This window comes from Homo sapiens, chromosome 7 (assembly GCF_000001405.40).
Source record: "Homo sapiens chromosome 7, GRCh38.p14 Primary Assembly".
Taxonomy (NCBI): domain Eukaryota; kingdom Metazoa; phylum Chordata; class Mammalia; order Primates; family Hominidae; genus Homo; species Homo sapiens.
In genome coordinates this window covers 122351821-122374926 of record NC_000007.14, presented here as the reverse complement: position 1 = coordinate 122374926, position 23106 = coordinate 122351821, and the positions used below count along the sequence as shown (strand labels likewise).

General features: G+C 38.7%; 1 protein-coding gene across 29 annotated transcripts in view; it reads left to right on the top strand.

Moving 5' to 3' along the window:
* Positions 1-23106, top strand: part of CADPS2 (calcium dependent secretion activator 2) — a 568050-nt gene that overhangs the window by 511534 nt on the left and 33410 nt on the right. For all 29 annotated transcript variants that reach the window (NM_001363398.2, NM_001009571.4, XM_047421032.1 and 26 more), the window contains 2 exons: positions 13914-13997; positions 14107-14139. In NM_001363398.2, coding sequence (NP_001350327.1) covers positions 13914-13997; positions 14107-14139 — 117 coding nt within the window. The remainder of the gene's footprint in view (positions 1-13913; positions 13998-14106; positions 14140-23106) is intronic.

Here is a 23106-nt window from a genome sequence, read left to right as displayed (position 1 = left end):
CTTCCTTTCCAAATAGTGCATTGTTAGTATACAGATATATGAATGACTTTTTAAAATTATACTTTAAGTTCTGGGATACATGTGCAGAATGTGCACTTTTGCTACATAGGTATACACCTGCCATAGTGGTTGTTGCACCCATCAGCTCGTCACCTACATTAGGTATCTCTCCTAATGTTAGCCCTCCCCTATCCCCACAGCCCCCGACAGGCCCCAGTATATGATGTTCTCCTCCCTGTGTCCATGTTTTCTCGTTCAACTCCCATTTACAAGTGAGAACATGCGGTGTTTGGTTTTCTGATCTTGTGATAGTTTGTCTGTGATTTTTTTTCTGCAACTTTACTGAATTTGTTTATTCTAACAGTTCTTTTTTGTAGAGTCTTTAGGGTTTTCTACATATTAAGATCATGTAATCTGCAAACAGAGATAATTTTACTTGTTCTTTCCTGATTTGCATGCCTTGTATTTCTTTTCTTTTTCTTCTTTACTTATTTATTTTATTTTATTTTATTTTATTTGTCTACTTACTTTGGCTAGGACTCCCAGTACTATGTTGAATAGAAGTGGTAAGTGTGGGCATCCTTGTCTCATGCTGTATCTTAGAGAAAAAAGTTATTTTTTCACCACTGAATATGATGTCAACTGTGAGCTTTTCATATAGCCTTTATTATGTCGAGATAATTTCATTCTGTTCCTAATATTTTGAATGCTTTTATCATGAAACATTACTTAGTTTTGTCAAGTGTTTTTCTGCATCTATGGAGATGATCTTGGTGATTTTTATCCTTCATTCTATTAATGTGGTGTGTCATAACAACTGACTTGCTTATATTCAAACATCCTTGGATCCTAGGGATCAATCTCATTTGGTGATGGTGTATGATTTTTTAATGTGCTGTTGAATTCAGTTTGCTAGTATTTTGTTGAAGATTTTTGTATCCATGTTTATCTTGGCTTATAGTTTTCTTTTCTGGCAGTATCTTTTGTCTGGCTTTGGTATCAGGGTGATGCTGGCCTCATAGAATAAGTTTGGAAGTGTTCCCTCTTCTGTTTTTTGGGGTTTTTTTTGGTAGTGTTTAAAGAGAATTGGCATTAATTCTTCTTTAAATGTTTGGTGGAATTCACTTCTTTAAATGTTTGGTAGAATTCACTTTTGAAGCCATTTCTTTGTTGAGAGGTTTTTGAATACAGATTGAGTCTCCTTATTTGTTATTGGTCAGCTTTATTTTATTCTTTTGATGGTGTCATGTTTCCCTGATTCTTCATGATCCCTGTAGCCTTACATTGGTATCTGCACCTTTGGAAAAACAGTGACCTTTTCCACTATTTACCGATTGACTTCAGCAGGAAAAGCCCTGGATCACTCACCCCAGCTAGAAATGTTGTGTGGGCCAGCTGTTAGGGCCTTTGGGCAGGCGTGATACCAGGGTCCACAGGCAGGATAGATTGTGGTTTTATTTCATTAAGAAAAACTAAAACATCTTGTAAGGCAATGATTCTTAAATGTTAGCACACATACACAAAAAAATTACCTGAGAACTGTTAAAATGCAGATTTCCATACCCCAATCTCCAGTGATGCTGAGTCTTAAGTTTGGGAAGAGGGGAAGGAATGTGCATGTTTAACCAGCCACCATGGTTATTTTACAATAGGGAACCATGAGCCAGACTTTGAGAAACACTGCTCTGGTGAATCTTCATCCAGACTGGCATGTAAACCTTTAAACTTCAGGATATTAAAAAAAAAATAGCCTATAAGACAGTTTGTTCACACTTGTTTTTACCAAGGAAGAAATGACTTTTTTAAAAGAGTTATGAAGTACCTACTGTGAAACTGCCACTGTAACTGTACATTTGTGACTTTATTTAAGCCTTATAAAACCTATGAAATGAACATAGAATAAAGTAGTTTGCATAAAATTATATATTGTGACTCTGCCTCTAATGAAATGGGCAGTCTTATCCTCAGTCACTGATAGGAACATAGTTCTCAAAGTCCTTTATTAAACTGATGAGCATCAAACACCTAATTAATTAGTGAGAATCAGGATCCAAACCTCTGAGCTTCAGATCCTTAATCCAATGCACTTAACTGATTCTACGTCTCTGGGAAATCTGTAAAGAGCAACCAGCCCATAAAAATTAAAATATGCGGTTTCTATATTAACTGTTACTACACTGTCAAATTCTAAGAGTCATGTCGTAGACATTTTTATATCATAATAATTAACTCAACATAAAGTAGATGAAAATAACAGTGAATTTCTCGTATCCCAGATATTTCTTTCAATATTTTAATTGTTCTGTGCATATTCACAAATATATTTGCTACATCTGGATAAAAATAAACTGCACTTTCTTCTTTTTACCTCTCCTCTTCAAGGCTACCTTTAGATCCTCTTCTTACCTCACATATTTCCACAAATAACATGAGAACGAGCCCAAGTTCTCAATCACACACAGTACTAAACAGTATGTGTCCCTCCCTACTATATACACATTTTATGTGCCTAGAAAAGGTCTTGGCCTTCCCTCTCTGTGCCCTTCTCTCTCCACTGGCAACTAAATGCTGTTACTTCTTGGGCCACCATCATTGGTCCTCTATTGAACTTTTTCTACAAATTTCTGTGACTTTTCCACTTCCAGCTTTAACTCTATGCTTGTGATTCCCAGCTCTGTATGTGAAAGGCAGTGCAGAATAGCAATTAAAAGCCCAACTTCTGACCTGGGTTCAAATTTCAACTCCTCCACTAGCTGTCTGATCTTAGTCAAGTTACTTAAACAAGCTTTCTGTGGCTCAGTTTTCCTCTCCTATAAAGTAGGAGTAATATAATAGTAGCATTTATTAGTGTTAGTGAATAGTAAGTATGTTAATACAGATAGAGTCTTAGAACAGTGGCCAATGCATTGTTAAATATTAGTTGATATTGTTATTATTGTTCCTCTAATTTTTATCACCTAAAATCCCGTATTTCCAGTTGCTTTCTGTACATCTCTACAAGGTCAGAGTCTAAAAATACCCATATCACCTCCACCCCACCCCAGGTGCCTCTTGTTTTGCATTTGCTGTCTCCATTGGCAGTACTGATCACCCCATTGTAAAATCTCGTCATCCTAGTGTCCCTGTCTTTATAGAATCTGCTCAAGCACATCACACAGGAGGACATCAGGGCCTTGAGTCAGTCTCCTAAACACTCCCTTTTCTGCCTCATTCCATTCTCACTGGCAGTACTATAGTCTTCAGGCCCTCATCATTTCCTCATTTAAATTCTTGCCTTACTGATCTCCACCATGGTCCCCCACTTCACCCTTGATATGGTTTGGCTGTGTTCCCACCCAAAATCTCATCTTGAATTATAATCCCTATAATCCCCATGTGTCAAGGGTGGGAGCAGGTGGAGGTAATTGGCTCATGGAGGTGGTTTCCCCCATGTTATTCTCATGATAGTGAGTGAGTCTCACAAGATCTGATGGTTTTATAAGCATCTGGCATTTCCCCTGCTTGCACTCACTCCATCCTGCTGCCCTGTGAAGAAGATGCCTGCTTTTCCTTTGCCTTCCGCCATGATTGTAAGTTTGCTAAGGCCTCCCCAGCAATGCAGAACTATAAGTCAATTAAACTTCTTGCCTTTATAAATTACCGAGTCTTGGGTGTTTCTTCATAGCAGTGTGTGAACAGACTAATACAGCCCTGAAGCCAGAGTATCTTTCCAAAATACCGATTTGACCATTTATTGCCGATGCTTCATATGTTGTAGGCATTCCTTATTCCCTGTGCCATCATTTCCTAAATTGTGTCTCAGGACACCTTGTACTTGAGTTTTGTTGATGTCCCATGAGATGAGGTTACTAACCCATTTGGGGAACACTGTATTCCTTGTAGTTCAGGATGTAGTGTTTGAGAGTGCAGTGTTCCTACACTTAACCTGTCCTGGGGCCCTTTATTCTGGAATTCCTAATAATATCTTGCAGGAATTAATATTCCTTAGAATATAGTTTGTGAAAGGTTGACCCACAAGAAAAACTTTTTAGCATCACCTACAAGTCCCTTCACAGTATAATTGCTCTTGTCCCCATAACACTCTCCCCCACATCTTAAACTCTAGCTATTCCAAAGTTCTATTGGTTTCATAGTTTTTCCAGACCCTTGTGCCTTTTCACTTCTGCCCCCTACTTGAAGAGCCCTTTTTTGCTTTCTTCTGATAATTCAACTAGAAAAGTCTTGGTTTGCTCTCCTTTCTAGAAGACATCTTACATCTTCCTAAGCAAATTTAGCCCTCTCCTTACCCAATGCCCTCTGTGCCCACTTTCTCTGCCATTTCTTCATGGTTATGTGTGTGTCTCTGAATCCTCTTTATCTATTATTCTTTGTACACTGCTTGTCATATAATCCAGTAGATGAAAGTAAATCTGGAAAATGCTAAAGGAATGTGCTCTGGCATCAATACTCCAGTTCTTGTCTCTAACCTAGAACATAAAGTACTTTGCATAAAATTATATACTGTGACTCTGCCCCAAATGAAAAAGGGCAATATTCATTTTTTAAAAAGGATTGAAATTCACAGCCATGAGGCAATGTAGAGTTTCAGGATGCAGCTCTGTGCCAGAAAGTATGCTCAATGCCAGGGATACAGTGCTAAGCAAAACAGCAGGGTCCCTGCCCTCAAGGAGTTTGCTAACCCTTGGAGGAGACACACTAACAAACATAAAATGCAAGCCATACAAATGTGTCATGTAGGATAATCTGTGACCGAGTAACTCATTTAGTCAGGGAGGACAGGAAAAGTTTTCCCAAGCAAGTGAAGCTTGAGCTGAGTTCCTAAGAATGAAAGAGTTAACCAGGAGAAGAGAGATGAAAGGACCATTTAAGTAAGAGAAACTGCAGAAACCAGGGCCTGGAGCAAGACAAGGCTGCAGAAGTGAGCAGAAGCTTGTAGGAAGTGCTAAGGAGCTTAAAGTCTTTATCCCAAGAGCAATGGGAAGTCACTGAAAGGTTGGAGAGTGTGGGTAGGGAATTAATCAGATTTGCATTATAAGAAGATTCATCTGACTGCCTGTAGCAAACAGATTGGAGAGGGGATAGTGTAGAAGCTGTTACTTGGTCTCTGTTGAACTAATCCAAAGACATTTCAGATGTACAATGAAAAGGGAAATAGTAAGGAGTACTCTTAGGTTTATGGCCTGAATGTTAGTATCATTCCTAGATGCAGGCTGTCCTGGAAGAGAAACAGATTTGGAGAGAAAGACCATGATGTCAGTATTGGACATGTTGAGATTGAGCTGCCTTTGAGACACCTGAGGGAGGAGATGTCAAGGAGGATATTAACTATTTGGGTCTGGAGCTCAGAGGAGGGATATGGGGTCAAAATATTGATGTGATTATAAGATTTCAACAATTGAAAAAAGGACTGTATCAGCAGCCACTGTTCTCAGGCCAAGGTGCTGTAACTGGAACACCTATGGAAAAGAGGGAAAGTAACCTTAAAAGAAAGGGGAAGACTGGGCGCAGTGGCTCACGCCTGTAATCCCAGCACTTTGGGAGGCTGAGGCAGGCGGATCACGAGGTCAGGAGATCGAGACCATCCTGGCTAACACGCTGAAACCCCGTTTCTACTAAAAAATACAAAAAATTAGCCGGGCATGGTGGCGGGCACATGTAGTCCCAGCTACCGGGAGGCTGAGGCAGGAGAATGGCGTGAACCCGGGAGACGGAGCTTGCAGTGAGCCGAGATTGCGCCACTGCACTCCAGCCTGGGCGACAGAGCGAGACTCAAAAAAAAAAAAAGGGGGGGGGGGGGGGAAACAAAAATTCTTCTAGCCAGAAAGACTTCAATAATTTTTACCAAGGGAAAAAAAATAGGAGCATTAAATCTTACCAAGGAAAGGGTACAAGAAATGTCATATTTATTGCCACTTTATATTAAAATTAAACCAACCGAAGTGTGGGATCATCAGAAAAGTTGGATTCTAGTCCCATTTTCTTATGTTACCAGCTGGGTGTCCTCACATGACTTATTTTCCTCATCAAAAAAAGTGGGGGTATTGGGTTTTTTAAAAACTGACAGCCTTTTCTCAATCTAGAACAAAAGTCCTACGCACATATCTGCATGGAGCCTGCTGGTGGCCTGCATCTGTTGTCTCCAGGCTCTAGAAACTCATGGCGCACGGAATGCTGGATTTGGAAGAGTCCTGAGGTCATCTACTAGGGACTTTTCAAACATTTTTATAGTTTTAAGATACATTTTTATATGCTTTAAAAATGTTTATAAAATATATTAATGTCTCAAATGTATATTAGCACTGCAAAATATAACACCAATCAAAGCATTGATGTCAGTCTGATTAAGAAGGGAAAGGAGGCCTGGGGCCCTACCTGGGTGGCCTCATGTTTCAAGGCAGGACTAGTCACCAGTCCAGTCTCCCTGTTCACAGATGAGGAAACAGAGGCCCAAGGCCACACAATAGATGTCAGCAGAGCCAGGATTTGGCCCCTGTGGTCCCTAAGCCTATGATCTCTCCACAACACCATGCAGAACTCAGCAAGACCAGGGAGGGAAAGAGTGATAGCTTCACCTCCAGTCCTCTTGTGTCCCTTTTATATCTGGGTTGTACCAGCCAGCCTGTGGGTCCCTCCATGCATACATTCTGTGAGACCAGCTTGTAGAGTCCAGCTAGAGTAACCAGGTGGGGCAACTCTAAGTCAGGTAGATGAAAATGGGATACCTTATATATAGCAATGAAAATGCCAAGGCTGGGTGCAGTGGCTCACACTTGTAATCCCAGTACGTTGGGAGGTCGAGGTAGGCAGATCACTTGAGGTCAGGAGTTCGAGACCAGCCTGGCCAACATGGCAAAACCCTGTGAGATAACAATTATTCAGGTGAGCCCAATGTAATCACAAGGTATTTAAAAGGGGAAGGAGATGGCAAAAGAAAAGAGTCAGAGAGAAAGATGAGATGGCAAAAGCAGGGTTAGAGAGATGCTATGTTGCCAGCTTTGAAGATGGAGGATAGAGACCATGAACCATGAATGCAGGCAAGAAGCTAGAAAAGTGAAGAAAACAAATTCTCCCCTAGAGCCTCCAGAAAGGAACTCAACCCTATTGACACTTGAATTTTAGCCCAGTGAAGCCTTTGTTAGGCTTCTGAACTACAGAACTATACCATAATAAACTTTTATTGTTTTAAGCAAAAAAAAAAAAAAAAAAAAAAAAAAAATTAGCTGGGCATGGTTGCACATGCCTATAAACCTAGCTACTCAGGAAGCCGAGGCACAAGAACACTTGCACTCAGGAGGCAGAGATTGCAGTGAACTGAGATCACGCCGTTGCACTCCAGCCTGGGTGACAAAGTAAGACTGTCTTAAAAAAAAAAAAAAAAAAAAAAAAACTGGGGGAAGGTTTAGAATATGGTTAACAGAGCCAAGAGTGAAAAAAATGACAACTCTCAGAAAGCACTGCTGAACAGGGCCTCCATCACTTCTGGGTATGAATTAAAAGATCATTTCTGTAATATCCAACTTCCTAGATTCTCAATTATTGCCAAAAAAAAAGGATTTAGGAAATAATATACACTTTTCCCACAACTATATTGATACAGATATACGGGTATATATACATTCTCTCTCTCTCTCGCTTTCTCTCTCTCATAACTTAGAATATTTTCCCCTGGATTTCTCTTAAGAATAGGATAGATAGAAGATAAATCTGATCTGACTGCCTAGATTATGTAATTAAAGTTTCTTGTTAATTTAGCCTGGTGAAATTAATTGCATTAAACTTACTCAATTTACTTGTTTGGATCAAGGCCATATATTCAGAAGGCATCTGTTAAAATCCAAGTATGTGCCCAAAAGGAATAGCATACGATATTAGGAGCCTTTAGCAGAGAGAGAATGCAAAGTAAAATAGTTCACTTTATTTGTGGAGGAACAATGAAAGGAAGAGTGAGAGAAAACAGTGTGGTGAATTCACCAACATCTGGTCTAAGTGTGCTGTTTTAGAAGTTGTCCTAGATACTTTGCAGAACAAGGTATGTTATGAATAAATACCTGCTGTCAAACACTCCCTCCTTCCTATAACGTGCAGGATCTGGTAAGGCCTTTTAGGAGTCAGTTGGAATAAAGCTTCAAATAAGTAGTTTCGCAGCTGGATTCACAGAAAGAGGATGGGAAAGAGACAATTGTATTGTGTTATTATACATATATGTGTGTATATATATATGTATACGTATATATATATATACGTATATATATATATATGTATGTGTGTATGTATATATATGTGTGTGTGTGTGTGTGTGTGTGTGTGTGTGTGTGTATTTTTGAGATGGAGTCTTGCACTGTTGCCTGGGCTGGAGTGCAGTGGCGCAATCTCGACTCACTTCAACCTCCATCTCCCAGGTTCAAGCGATTCTCCTGCCTCAGCCTCCTGAGTAGCTGGGATTTCAGGCGCCCGCCACCATGGCCGGGTAATTTTTTTTTTTTTTTAGTAGAGATGGGGTTTCACTATGTTGGCCAGGCTGGTCTCAAATGCCTGACCTCGTGATTCACCCACCTCGGCCTCCCAAAGTGCTGGGATTACAGGTGTGAGCCACCACACCTGGCCGCCTCGTATTATTTTATTATCATATATTAACGTTCTGATTTAGGGAAGACAACCTATTTTCTCCTAGTTCATGATATTCTGGAACTGTGTTCACATTTTTTAAGAATATGTTACTAAAACAAGTTTATTTTTAATTTTTAAAAGTTTTTTAACTAAATTCATGGAGTACATGTGCAGATTTTTAACAATACTAGTTAGTCCTGATCTTAACAAAAAAAAAAACAAAACAGCTATCCCATCCTCCCCCACAGAAAACACTTAGTTTTTCATTATCAGCCATACTAGGGATGTTTGTGTTTTCTGTGGAAGATTTTATAACGTGCAGTGTAAATGATGCAAATATTCCTTGTTTATTTCATGAAGTGTCACAGCTAAAAATGCAAGAACTGTTCGTTTTGAACCCTAGCTGGAATCCTCCCGTCACTTAGAGTTTATGGTTCTACCTTCCATATGAATCTTATATGCTGTCAAAATCAACAAGAAATGTAAATGCACATGCCTTGAAGCACTCTTCATGTTTCCTTCTACCAGTCACTTCCAAGAGTTTCATGAGACAAAGTCAGTAATTACCCAGGCAGACTTTAGGTGTTAAATATTTTTCAAACAAGCCCAGTTAATGGCATCAGTAATAAAGAGCAGGGCAACAAAGAGATTACAGTGTTTCATTCCAACCCGACACCCTCAGGAGAACAGACAGCACAAAGGCAAACCCATAAGTGTTTATATACTCCCTGAGCTGTACAGAGAAAGTTCACAGGAAGCAGTTAAAGATGCAGCAACTAAACCCAACATTTAACTGGGTTTCTTTGGAATCTTGCTGTTTTATGCAATTAAAAGCCAGGTGGAAGGTATATCGTTACTAGTCAATCTTGATGTTTATAATAGAGTTTGATTTTTAAGGTAGCTCTTCTACTAGGTGTGCCTCAACAAAAATCTTACAAAGAAAACTTTCCTGTAGGAACTGTACACCTCAGCTGGTTAATCCCACAGGTGCTGTCGCTGCTCACTGCCATGTAAGCACTTAGATTCCCAGCTGTATTGAGCCTCCCCAGGGACCTTTAGGGATAGGGAGGAAGCTGAGGAAAGACTCTCCACTACTTTTGAAATGGAGACAAAGAATGCTGAGACATGAATGCAGCAGACCACAGGTTCACACCTAGGACTAACTTGTATATAAGCCAATGCTGCTTCGTGCTCTGAAGAAGATGAGCCAAACAGGCTGCCAGATGCCACATGGAGAAAATTCTGCCCTAAATGCATTTGCCAGCAACCTTCCCAGAGAGTCATTTTAGCCACTCTATCTCTGCTATCCTTTGGCTCAGCTCCTGTGCCAACTCATAAGTGAAGCTGACCCCATATCCTGTAGTCAAAGACATTATTTCCTTCTTCTGGTTTCAGCTATACTGCTTACTGTCTACACTGCCCATAACACTTCTGCCTTGTGTCATGTGCAGTTATGTTCATGTCTATCTCTCCCACTAGTTTGTATTTCCCAAAGGGAAAGATCTAAGACTGTTGTGTTTTTGTATGTCTTATCCTAGGTACTCATTAATAATTAAAACAAAATGACACTTATTGGGCTCTTTTTTTTTTTTTGAGATGGAGTCTCACTCTGTTGCCCAGGCTGGAGTGCAGTGGCGCAATCTCGGCTCACTGCAAGCTCCGCCTCCTGGGTTCACACCATTCTCCTGCCTCAGTCTCCTGAGTAGCTGAGACTATAGGCACCTGCCACCACACCCAGCTAACTTTTTTGTATTTTTAGTAGAGATGAGGTTTCACTGTGTTAGCCAGGATGGTCTCGATCTCCTGACCTCATGTTCCACCCACCTCAGCCTCCCAAAGTGCTGGGATTTCAGCCGTGAGCCACGGCACCTGGCCAAGTTCTTTTTTTTTTTTTTTTTTTTTTTTTAACTTGAGACAGGGTCTTCCTTTGTCATCCAGGATGGAGTGCAGTGGCACAATCATTGTTCAGTTTAGCCTTGAACTCCTGGGCACAAGCAATCCTCCCACCTCAGCTTCCTGAGAAGCTACAGGCACACGCCACCATGCCCAGCCAATTTTTTTAATTTTTTTTTGTAGAGACAGGATCTTGCTATGTTGTCCAGGCTGGTCTTGAACTCCTAGACTCAAGCAATACTCCTGCCTTGGCTTCCCAAAGTGCTGGGATTACAAGTGTGAGCCACCACACCTGAACCCTTGAGTATTTATATGCTGGGCACATTGCATATGGCGTATCACTTAATTCTTACAGTTCTGTAGCATGATGGGTAAAGAGCATGGGCTTTGGATCAAGACCACCTGTGTTTAAAGCCTTCCTCCTTCTGCCGTCTGCCAAATAACCTTGAAACAGGCGGAATCCCAGTGGTTTTCTGACTTAAAGCCTCAGCTCTATTCTACCTCCATAGAAGCCCCATAGATTTAATTGAATTAGACCCATTAGCTTAAGGACCAAACTCATTCCTCTTTGTCACTAAGTAATTCTAAGGCAGCCCCCATTAACTTGTGACTTAATGTATTCAGGTTTTTAGACACAGATAGTGATTTTGCTAATCATATGGATAATATTAATTCTTTACATTTCTTTAGTGTTTGGCCATTTTCACAGTTCTTTCACATAAATTACCTCCACTGATCTTCAGACCATTCTTGTAAGGTGGGCGGGATAGCTGTCCTTTTCCCCACTTTACTGAGAAGTACAATGAAGAGAGAGAAGCAAAATGACTTGACATTTATCTCGTAGCCAGACAGCGGCAGAGCTGCAACTTGAGCCAAGAAGTAAATTCATCAACAGGCTCCCTGCCTCTATCTTGCTTTGTCCCTCAGCAAATTCATCAACAGGCTTCCTGCCTCTATCTTGCTTTGTCCCTCAGCAAATTCATCAACAGGCTTCCTGCCTCTATCTTGCTTTGTCCCTCAGCAACACACATGTGTGTATGCACAGACTCACTAGCAAGCACCAAGAATCAGGTGCTGGGCTACAGCCTCCATGGTTCAAGCTGTCTAGTAACCATAGCAATTGCCGCTGTCCTCGTGGCAAATGAGATCACCCAGTACACACTTGCTCCAAGATTTGAGTTACAAGAGATGAGGCATTTTCCACAGAGGGCCATTAAGTTTGGAATTCCCTTTCCCTGGTCTGACATAACCCTAGAGTATTCATCTTCTGGGTCCTTGCAAACTACATCAAGTTGAGTTAGCCAGTCATGATTGGTAAGAAATCCTAACAGGCAGGAAGAAAGTGCTAAATTAACTTCTACATGTGAGCAATTCGCAATTTTGTGGGTGGATTTTTTTTCCCTAGGCATCCTTTAGGATAGCTACCCAAGCATACGTTATTCTCATTCTTTAAAAATGCACTTATAGTTCACAGTCAGTCTGCATGGTTTTGTTTCTGTGTTCTTACATCATGTCGCAAATGATGTGATGGAGAAACCTATAGGGAAGTTTTTGTTTCTTTTGCATAAACTATTTTGTAGTAATTGATCAGCCATAAAGAAAAGATTATCTCCTATGCACTCACAGCGAGTTCTCTGGTCACCAGAGACCAATAAGCTGTGTCCCTAGAACTATTATCACTTTGTTGAAGAAGCTGCTATGTGAACAAAAACCAGTCTTCGTTAATTTCCCTTTTCCTATTGAAAAAACCTTGTCAGCATTTTCCCTTTGGGAATCTATAATGTGTCAATAGTTCATATTATTTTAGTTCTAAGGAGGAGAGATGTAGGGCAGTATGTCATTCTTAAGATCTCTTATTCATCGATTTTCATGCTAAATAAAGTAAAATGCTTCACATTTTTACTGTATTATAGTGTATGTGTTTTTTTATTTCATAGAAATATAAAGTTTTAGAAATGTAAACCACTTTTGAGACTAATTTGAATTCCACATCCTACCCCCCTCACCCTAGTCCATTTAACTGATGGAGGAAGCCTGAGAAGTAAGGTGGTCAAACTGAGCTTGCATTCTACTGAGTGATGGAATTGGGATATACATTCTGAGTCCAGTGCTCTTTTCCATTGTACTCTGCAGTGTGTATCTGTTTTCTCTCCATAACTGCTACGTAAGCTTTGGGAAGCAGGGATGATCCTTATATGTGCCAATTAGAACTGCCTGGTAAATGCTTGTTAACTAATGTCAGCCATTGTGTCATAGTTACAAGAGCTCATATGTTACACCACCTCCCTTTCATTATCTGTTCATTTTTTTTGTTTGTTTGTTTTTTGGTTTTTTGTTTTTGTTTTTGTTTTTCTTTTTTAAGGCAGAGTTTTGCTCTTGTCACCCAGGCTGGAGAGCAATGGCATGATCTCAGCTCACCACAACCTCTGCCTCCCAGGCAATTCTCCTGCCTCAGCCTCCCGAGTAGCTAAGATTACAGATATGAGCCACCATGCCCTGCTGATTTTGTACTTTTAGTAGAGACGGGGTTTCTCCATGTTGGTTAGGCTGGTCTCGAACTCCTGACCTCAGGCGATCCGCCCACCTTGGCCTCCCAAGGTGCTGGAATTACAGGCATGAGCCACCCTGCCTGGCCCATTATCTGTTCTTTTATATTCAACCTCCTGTGTAGATGTAGAAAAAGTTGAAGGATGGCAAGTAATATAAAATAGAAAGGAATCTGATTAAGCTTGCCTGCCATTGTTTCTTAACATCCACATTGAAGTTGAAAAATGTTTTAAGGAAAAATCTCATGGACCTAAGATTGTTTATGAATGGCTTCAGTGGTCTCATATGTATAGTGACTAGATTCCTATGACACATTATCTTTTATTTTTTTAAAAATTGTGTATTATTGGCCAGACACGGTGGCTCACACCTGTAATCCCAGTACTTTGGGAGGCCAAGGCGGGTGGATCACAAGGTCAGGAGTTTGAGACCAGCCTGGCCAATATGGTAAAACCCCGTCTCTACTAAAAATACAAAAATTAGCCAGGTGTGGTGGCGGACGCCTGTAGTTCCAGCTACTCGGGAGGCTGAGGCAGGAGAATAGTTTGAACTCGGGAGGTGGAGGTTGCAGTGAGCCAAGATCACGCCACTGCACTCCAGCCTGGGTGACAGAGCAAGCCTCCATCTCATTTTAAAAAAAAAAAAAAAAAAAAAAGTGTATTATTTCCAGCCATGGGAAAGAAAAGGACAGTAGAGTTCATGTTCAGAATGAAAGAGTAAACATCACAAGTTAGTCTGACCTCAGCTGTCAGTTCATTCATTGTGAATTTTTGTGCGATGGAAGAAATTGATTCAGGAATTGTTTGTCCTGCTATTAGTTTGTATGCATAGTAACATTCTAAATACTCACTATAACTGTATTATAGTTTGTTTCAGTGTTGGAAGGCGTGTTGTCTAAGCTGTCAAGGTATGATGAAGGCACTTTCTTTTCATCCATTCTGTCATTCACTGTAAGTATTTGAATGAGTTCTCTTCTGTGGTCTTTTAACTGTTGTCATAGTACTTATATGGCAGTTAAAAAAATAATTCTCATGATTATCTCTTTCTTTCACACTTAAGGTGAAAGCAGCTGCAAAATATGTTGATGTTCCAGTAAGTATTTTTTATCTGCTTTTTAAAACTGTATGGAATTCTTTAAAAAAAAATTGCAGTTCATCATGGGTTTATTTCAAATCTTTAAACCAGTGCCATTCCCTTAGGGAGTAGTTTATTTTCCTTAAGCAAGCACTAACCTTCATAACAAGACATAGCAAGGTTATTTCGTTGACTTTTTCTGTTGTAACTCAGAAACTCTTAAGGAGATCAGTTCATCATAAGAACATATCACCTGAGTTGCAGAGGGAAGTTATAGCACTCTAGGATGGGGTAGAAAAATGCCTCACACTATTTATAGAAAAACTGCTCGCTTTTCCTCCCCTTTCTATGAAAGCTGTAATGGGTTTCTTATAGAAGGTAGAATAATGATAAAGATGAACCAGTTAAAGAATTAGTTTTCTAAATACACAAGTGTTATATAAATCAGTAGTTACTTATTTTAACATTTGTTGTTTCATAGAATTCTTGGGAAATAACTCATAAATTTGTTCCAAAATTTAGATTCCATGAGCAGAAATCATGAAACTGACTTAGCTACAATGAGAACGTTCACATGGTAAACATAACCAACAAGTTGTGCAGCATTTTTAAGCTAATCATCATACCAAATTAGTTTTTGATTTAAATTCTATTATCACCTATATGATCAAGGCCTAAGGTGTTCTGTTTAATCATTTATTTTGGCATATATGTCAATTTTCAAAGAATTAGAATTAGAGCACAATGAAAAATAAATTAAGATTTAAGACTAGATGGAATATAAATTCTCTCTTTGTATTTGAAGAACATTATATCTCTACATTGCCATTAGAAATGGTAGCAGTTTTGAGTGCTGGCAAGCTTTATGTATCAGTTGTAGATAGCTCTTATTTTTAGGATGCACCACCACATTTTGTCTCTGGCTTTATTGCTGCTGTAGTTATAAATGAGTATTTTAAATGAGAAGGCCCTGGACTTTTCTACCTTTGCATGGGGTTTCTTTGGAACTGGACTTTTTATTTTACAAATGTTTCCCAAAGAAGTCTTCATACCCTCCTCGTCCTGTACCTAGAATCAAGGAATCAGTGCTGGACCATAAGTAGAAAAAAATCACATATGTAGAGCCCCACAAAGCAGCAGCATGAAAGGGAGAATTAAGGGGAGATTTTATGTTTGATATCTTAAAAAGGAAGGCACAAATAATCTTGTATATATCACATTGGACTTTGTAACACACATAGTTTTTGTTTGATTTTGAATTACAAATGGACTGTGACACCAAAATTATTCATGTTCTTAGAGATTTTGAGGTTTTTAATTGGCCCTATACTAGTTTATTCTCTCCATAGAATTTCAGAGTTGAAGGAGACAGAAAATGGTTCATTTACTTCCCTTCTCAGTGCAAGTAACCCCTCTCTAACATCCCTTACAAAGATTCACTTGGGTGCTGTTTAATTATTTCAGTGGTTACAGGATGACCATATGGCAGCCTACTGTTAAGTATTATGAGTTGAAATTCTGTATCTTTGTGAATTTTACCCATTAATCCTCGTTCTAATCTCTCTTCTGCATGATAGCTCTTTGCATATTTAATGACAATTTTCATGCCTCCTCTTCCCAGGAGGTGTGGTGGCTATTCACAGGCATATGTTGTCTGAGGAACGCTTATTTTCTAGATTAAACATTCTCAATTTATTCACTAAACCCACTACTTAAATATTTATTTAGCACATACTAAGTGCTAGATCCTGGACATACATGATGAGACGTACATTTCTTGCCCTCAAATGGTTCACAATATTAAAGACAAAAGACATAGGGAAACAGACATATCATTATGCACACTTCTATGGCAATCATATCCAGACTCTTCATCATGCCAGTTACTAACCTAGAGGAATTCTAGCTTATCAGTGTCAGCATTAAATCAAGTTGCCCCCTGGAGCAGAACATACTATACCATAGATGTGGTTTGACCATGGCAGATTACAAAGTGATGAATTCCTTCTTCAGTTATGGACATTACACTTCTATTGTTGATGCCTGTGAATATTAACTTTAAAAGCTGTAAGGTCTTGTTGGCCGTTATTCTTTTTTATACTCAAACTCCAGCAAGTATGCCTCTCTGAAGCTGTCTCTTAAGAGAGTCTCATGAGAAAAAGAGCGCTGGCTCACCTTTCACAAAAATTAACTGAAAACAGACCTAGACCCACATACAATGCAGAACTATACAACTTCAAGAAGAAAATATAAGATAAAATATATATGGCCTTGGATTTGGTGATGAGTTTTTAGATACAACCCCACATAATTCATGAAAGAAAAAAAATTGATAAATTGAACTTAAAAATTGATAAGTATACTCTTATTCATTGTTAAGAGAAAGAAAAGCCACAAATGGGAAGAACTATTTACAAAACACATATCTGATAAAGGACTTGTATCCAAAGTGTTCTAAGAACCCTTAATATTCAACAATATGAAAACAACCAAACTTTTTAAATGGGCAAAAGATCCAAACAGGCACTGCAACAAGAAAGATATGCAGATACCAAGTAAGCTTATGAAAAAATGCTCAATATCATTTGTCATTAGGAAAATGCAAATTAAAAGAAGATACCACTATGTACTTGTTAGAATGGCCAAAATCCAAAAACAAACTGGCAACAGCAAAATGTTGACGAGGATAAGAGAGCAACAGGAACTCTCATTCATTGCTGGTAGGAATGCTACAGCTACTTTGGAAAACTGTTTGCCAGTTTCTTTTAAAGCTAAATATAGCCTTACTATGTAACCCACCAATCACAGTTCTCTGCACTTATCCAACTGATTTGAAACATATGTCCACCCCAAAATCTATGCACAAATGTTCATAACAACTTTGTTTATAATCACCCAAACTGGAATCAACCAAAATTGTCCTGTAGTACGTCAATGTATAAATAACCATTGGTACGTCCATACAATGTAATTCTATTCAGCAAAAAGAAAAGAGCTCTCATCTCACATGAAGACATGGATGAATCTTAAATGCATATTGCCAAAAGTAGCCAATTTGAAAAGGCTGCATACTGTATGATTCCATTTATATCACATTCTACAAAAGGCAAAACTATAAAGACTATAAACAGATTAGTGGTTGCCATGAGTTCAAGGTCAGGGAGGGCTGAATTGTTCAAATACAGGGGATTTTTTGGAACACAGCAACTATTCTGTATGATATTGTAATGGTAGATACATGACACTGTGCATTTGTCAAAACCAAACTTTATAGCAAAAAGAGTGAACTTGAGTATATTCAATTATTTAAAAATCAATTAAGTGATCATAGAATCCCAGGATGGAAAGGAAACTATAATAAAATAATTCTATTGTGAATGTATGAGATAAACTCACTGAAAGAGGAGCGAGGAAAGTGCTGATCTGAGTAACTTTGGAAATTAGTGGAGTCTGTAAGAATAAGGGGAAATGGAACTTATAAATAAGCATTGTACTCTGGTTGATAAAGTTTTTCTCCACAGTTTAACAATTTTGAAGCCACTATACGTGTGTATTGGAATTGAACAATTAAGTAAATGGATGGTGGTTGGTAGGAGCCAGGTTTCTCACCGTTAGAGTCAGGTTAGAGGCAAGCAAAGGAAGGGGACTAGAATGATCCTGTAATGGATTAGAGTTGGAAATATCAGTGTGAATTTGTCTTTAGCTTAGTACAGATAGAGCTGGTTACATTTAACAGTATTTTTAGATATATGTATATGCATGCGTTAATGTGCTCACATACATTTTCTTGCTCTGTTAGCTCAGAGAGCCTAGAAACAGTGATGCCCCAGTAGCAACAAGCCCACATAGCACTCAAATTTGTTCTCTAATCTTTAATGAAATGAACCAGGGCTCATTGGAGAAATGGCTGGTGCTGAAAAATATACAAGATGAACGTGGAGCATCTTGTAGCAACAGAAAGGAGATGTTCACAAAAAACACAAAACTGGAAACTCTGTGTTTCAAAGAGACACAGCAGATGATGGAAAGAGCTCCCAGTGGCCTAAGCTAGAGTAATTTGAGCGAGCAAATATGTAAAGTAATATTGGATTATAATCCAAAGCATAAAATAAATATCCATTGGTCCATACTGATACAAGTAAATATTGAAGTACATAATGGGGAGAAAAGACAGCTCTCCCATGCAGAAGAACTCCAAATAATTAATATAGATACTTCCCTCTCAGGGAGGTGGAGCATATATCCCTACTCCTTAAGTGTGGGATGTACATAGTAACTTCCTTCCGAAGAGTACAATAAGCAAAGGAAGATGGGGAGAATAAACTTCCAATGGAGAAATTTGAGAAATATTACCCCAGCCAGTTGATCAAAGGTCAACATCTGCAGTGATAAATCATATTGATAATATCAGCCTTTGACAGGATGTGATGAAAATGGCACTTTACCTCTATGGTCTTCCTCTAAAAATCTTGTAACTGCAGTCTAATCATCAAAAAAAATCAGACATATCTCAATAGGTGATACACTACAAAATATCTGAGAATACTCCTCAGAATTTTCAAGGTCATCAAAAAGAAGGAAAGTAGGAGAAAGTGACACAACCAAGAGGAGTCCAAGGAGACCAAATTACTAAATGTAACGTGGTATCCTGAATGATATCATGGAAGAGAAAAAGGATATTGGGTAAAAACGAAGGGAAACTGAATAAAGCTCACACTTCAGTTAATAATATTGTGTCAATATATGTTCATTAATTGTAGGAAATGTACCATACTAATGTAAGATGATAATAATAGGGGAAATTGGGTGTGGGTTATATGAAACTAATATTTCCACAGTGTTTCTGTAAATCTAAAATTTTTCTAAAATAAAATGTTTATTAAAAGAAAAAAGCACTGGCCAAGGACTTAATAATACCTTACTGTTAATTCATTTTATCTGGCTATGTGCCCTTGAAACTGTATGACCTTGGGCATTACTTAAGTGGCCCCAGTCTAGTCATCTATAAAATGAGTGAATAAGCTACATAACTGCATTAGTTCTTTTAACTGTAATGTTCTGTCACCATGTGAGTTCTTGTCCAGTTCTCTCTATGAGACAACAGAGCCCAAAAATTCCACCTGGAAGATGATGAGAAGATAAAGAGCTAGAAAAAATTTTCTGGATAAGAAGGCAATACCTTCTTATAATACCGTCACTTGTCGGAATTTTTTTTTTTTTTTTAATAAGACAGCCTCACTCTGTGCCCCAGGCTGGAGTGCAGTGGCCTGATCTTGGCTCACTGCAACCTCCAACCTCCCGGGTTCAAGTGATTCTCGTGCCTCAGCTTCCGAAGTAGCCGGGAAAACAGGCATGTGCAACCACACCTGGCTAATTTTTTGTATTTTTAATAGAGATGGGGTTTCACCATGTTGGCCAGGCTGTCTGAAACTCCTGACTTCAGGTGATCCGCCTGCCTCGGCATCCCAAAGTCCTGGGATTACAGGCATATGCCACCATGCCTGGCTGGAATGTTTTTAAAGCAATAAATAAATTGATTCTATAACGTGAAAATTACAACTGAAGTTAAGTGGCATTCCTATGCAGAAAAGGAGGAATTCATGTTCCTAGAACATACTTGTCAGATATTCCTTATAATTATAGCACAGTTGAAGATGTATGAGTTAACAGAAAATGACCCAAATCAAACCATTTAAATATAATAAACATAGTCTTTTGTATCTTTGTAACATATACTTCTCATGACACTTTATGAATGAAAAAAAAATCATACTTAGGAGAAAAATGCTTCAGTGTAGTCCTGAACAGAAATAAATTCCAGGCACGTGCCTCTTCACAAAGAAGTTGGTAGGATTCTCCTTGATATCTTTCTGATCTAGATGATGAACTGTGTCCTTCAGTATAGTTTGATAGATTGCTCTTGGCTAGACAACCCTATCTTGGGGAGGAGTTCTGTGGCAGTTATACAGTTTATGGCCCCATCATAGAACCTTGGAATGCTCATGGTGGCAAAGACAACAGACATTTGAAAAAAGAGTGAGAAAGAAAAAGCAAGACCTGGACTAGGTGAGTCTGTCCTGTTCAATAGTAACTTAGAAGGGAACTCAGATCTGACAGAAATTAGATGCAGGACGAGGATGAAAATGTTCATATTAGCTTTGCGGATAGGAATACTAAGAACCAAAAATTCTGCAGGTTTAAATTATTATACTAACCCCTCCCCCCCAAAAAAAAAGTTTTGCTCACCCGTAAGGTGGGTAAGATGTAGCTGATAGCAAATGTATGTAAAAAGTTGTATAAAAGATCATGTTTGACAATAATATGGAGTACTTTTTGAAAAAATCAGGTATATAGATCTATGGAGGCTGCATAACAGGGGGGTTACTTACAGGCTGAGGAACCGAACTGCTGGCGGTTGAATCCTTGCTCCATCACTTCATCTATTATCAGTGTGACCTTAGGCACCAGTTTCTTCTTCTGTAAAATGGAGATGTAATTACACCTCTTATAGGCTTATTGTGAATATGTTAAGCAGTTTTCACAGTTCCTAGAATGGAATTAGTGCACAATAAATGCTAGCTATTATCATACATTATTATTATTATTGATTACAATAAAATCTAGTATCTACATTGTAGGAAATAATCATTTCACTTATACCATATTGATCGCATCTGTATGATTGTGAACAAGTCACATCTGAATTCTTTCAAGGCAACATTTTCTTTTTACTTTACTTCCTCCTATAGAAAGCAGCCAGGCTAGTTAATGGGATCTGGAAATAGTGGCTTATGAAGGAAAAAAAAAGAAATCTGACTGTTCCTAGAAAGAGGGAAAAAAAATCTAAGAGATAAGGTAGCCCTGATCAATATGTAAAGGGCTCCTGTTTGGAAAAAGGAACAGCCTGAGCCTGTATCAGTCAAGAAGATAGGACTAGGAACAATGACTAAAAACAAGTGGGAGCAGAACTGAAATCAGTGTAAGACAAAACTTTAAAAAAAAGTTATTTACAAAGGTGACATAGTAAAAGCTGCACCACTGTTTGCCAGGTGTGGTACTGAAGATTTCTGCATTATGTGGGAAATAGGACAAGATGACATTAAAGGTTCTTTCCAACTCTGATTCTGGAATTTTATTCTATTGTCATTCTAGTTAAACAGGACATTTTGGGGTTTAAGGATGTATGTTGATTTTTAAAATCCCTATTTAAAATGGTCTTATTAACATTATCACACACGCTGCATACCAACTCTATGCTAGACACTAAGGTGAAACAGCTGAAGAGACTTGGAGGATACGATAAAGATTACTGTGGCCAAGAAAAGACCAAAACAATGAGGAAGGAAGAAGAAACTGTCTCTCTTCATTGGCTTAATCGTACTGATGCCTGATCTTGGTGGTTTGTCCTAAGATAAAGGAGATGGCTAATCTTTCTCTTATCTTCATTAGGAATTCTCTCAAATATTCTCTCATCTTTATGATACTTGCTAAAGATTTCTCATTTCAAAATCCCCAAAAGGTGGTTCTTACCCACCTCTGTACTGCACAGACTTGATATGGGGTCGAGGATCTCCGTTCATTTTCCACCTTGCTCCTATCTAGCTGTTTGATCTGTGGGCTTCCATTTTCCCACCCATGCAGTGAGGATAATAGTATTTAAAAGTATTGCCATTACTTTTAATGGCAAAAAACACAATCACTTCTGCACCAACCTATAATCCCTGTGCTGCCTCCCTCATTATGAGAATTCAGAATTCGATGAGCACATTAACGTGAATGTGCTTTGAATTGTAAAGCACTGTTGCAATAAATTGTTATTGTTTCTACCTGGAATGATGCTTCCGGCTCCCATGCATTACTCCCTAGTTCCTGCTCACTACTTAAGAACGTGACCAGTTACCAAAAGAAAAACCAGTTGCCTTCCACAGAGTGAACAATATTAGCTTTTTATTTTTTCATTTATGTTCCCTTTTAGAATAGTACACACTGGTGGCTTTTAGGGTATAATCAGTCAGTTCAGTGACATTAGTGTTTTCCCTCTTCCTTCTTTTGCTTCCTTGCTTCTCATGTTGTTTACTACTTAGATAACCACACCTGAATACTCGGAGCTTTACATCAGCATGAGAGCCAGACAGAACTCGGGGAATGGAGCTCTTGCCCACAGGGGCATATTCACCTAGAGAGAGGGATGCACACCAGGACCAGATTAAGAGCCTCACTCGTCTAGGAGTGGAGGAGGTTGTGTGTTGTGCTTTCCAGATGAATGTTTTGCTTCTTTATTCCTTTGTGTTTTGTCTGTCTGGCTTTTCTCTCTTATGTAAGATAAATCCATGAGCTGCCTCCAGACACTGGAATTCTAGCACCCTGAGTCGTCACTTAAGCCAAAATCTGAATCATTCCAAATTGAGCTGAGTAAACCCATCCCAGTCCATCTAAACTTTAAAAGCTAAAAATGAAATAATGCAGCATTTTAATTTTACTTCTTCAAGTCCTCATGTAGTATTTTCTAATTGACACAACTGTAGATGAGGGAAAGGCTAGTGAACTGAGAGATTTAAAACCATCATCATTATGATTGCTACTTATGAATATAATAGTATAAAGCTCATAGGTAGTGTACACATTAGCACATTTTGTGTTTGGTGCTACTGTATTAGCAGCTATTCCTCTAAACTCTGGGATGTTAGTGATCTAACCGTAGATCAGAAATAGCAAGATACTTGATCCTCATAGTCCCAAATGGGGAAGGCATTGTAAACCCATAGATCTCAATTGAAAATTACCTTGTCCCCTTGAGTAGTTCAGGCTAATATCTTAAACTATCATTCAGTATTTATTTTAATATTTAAAAGAAACTTCTCTTTGAAAGGATTTTCCCCATTGATATAATAAAATGTAACATACTAATGCTACATAACTGTTTCTAGACCTATAAATGTATAAATTATGTAACTACTTAGAAGAAATAGTGTGAAACATTCATGT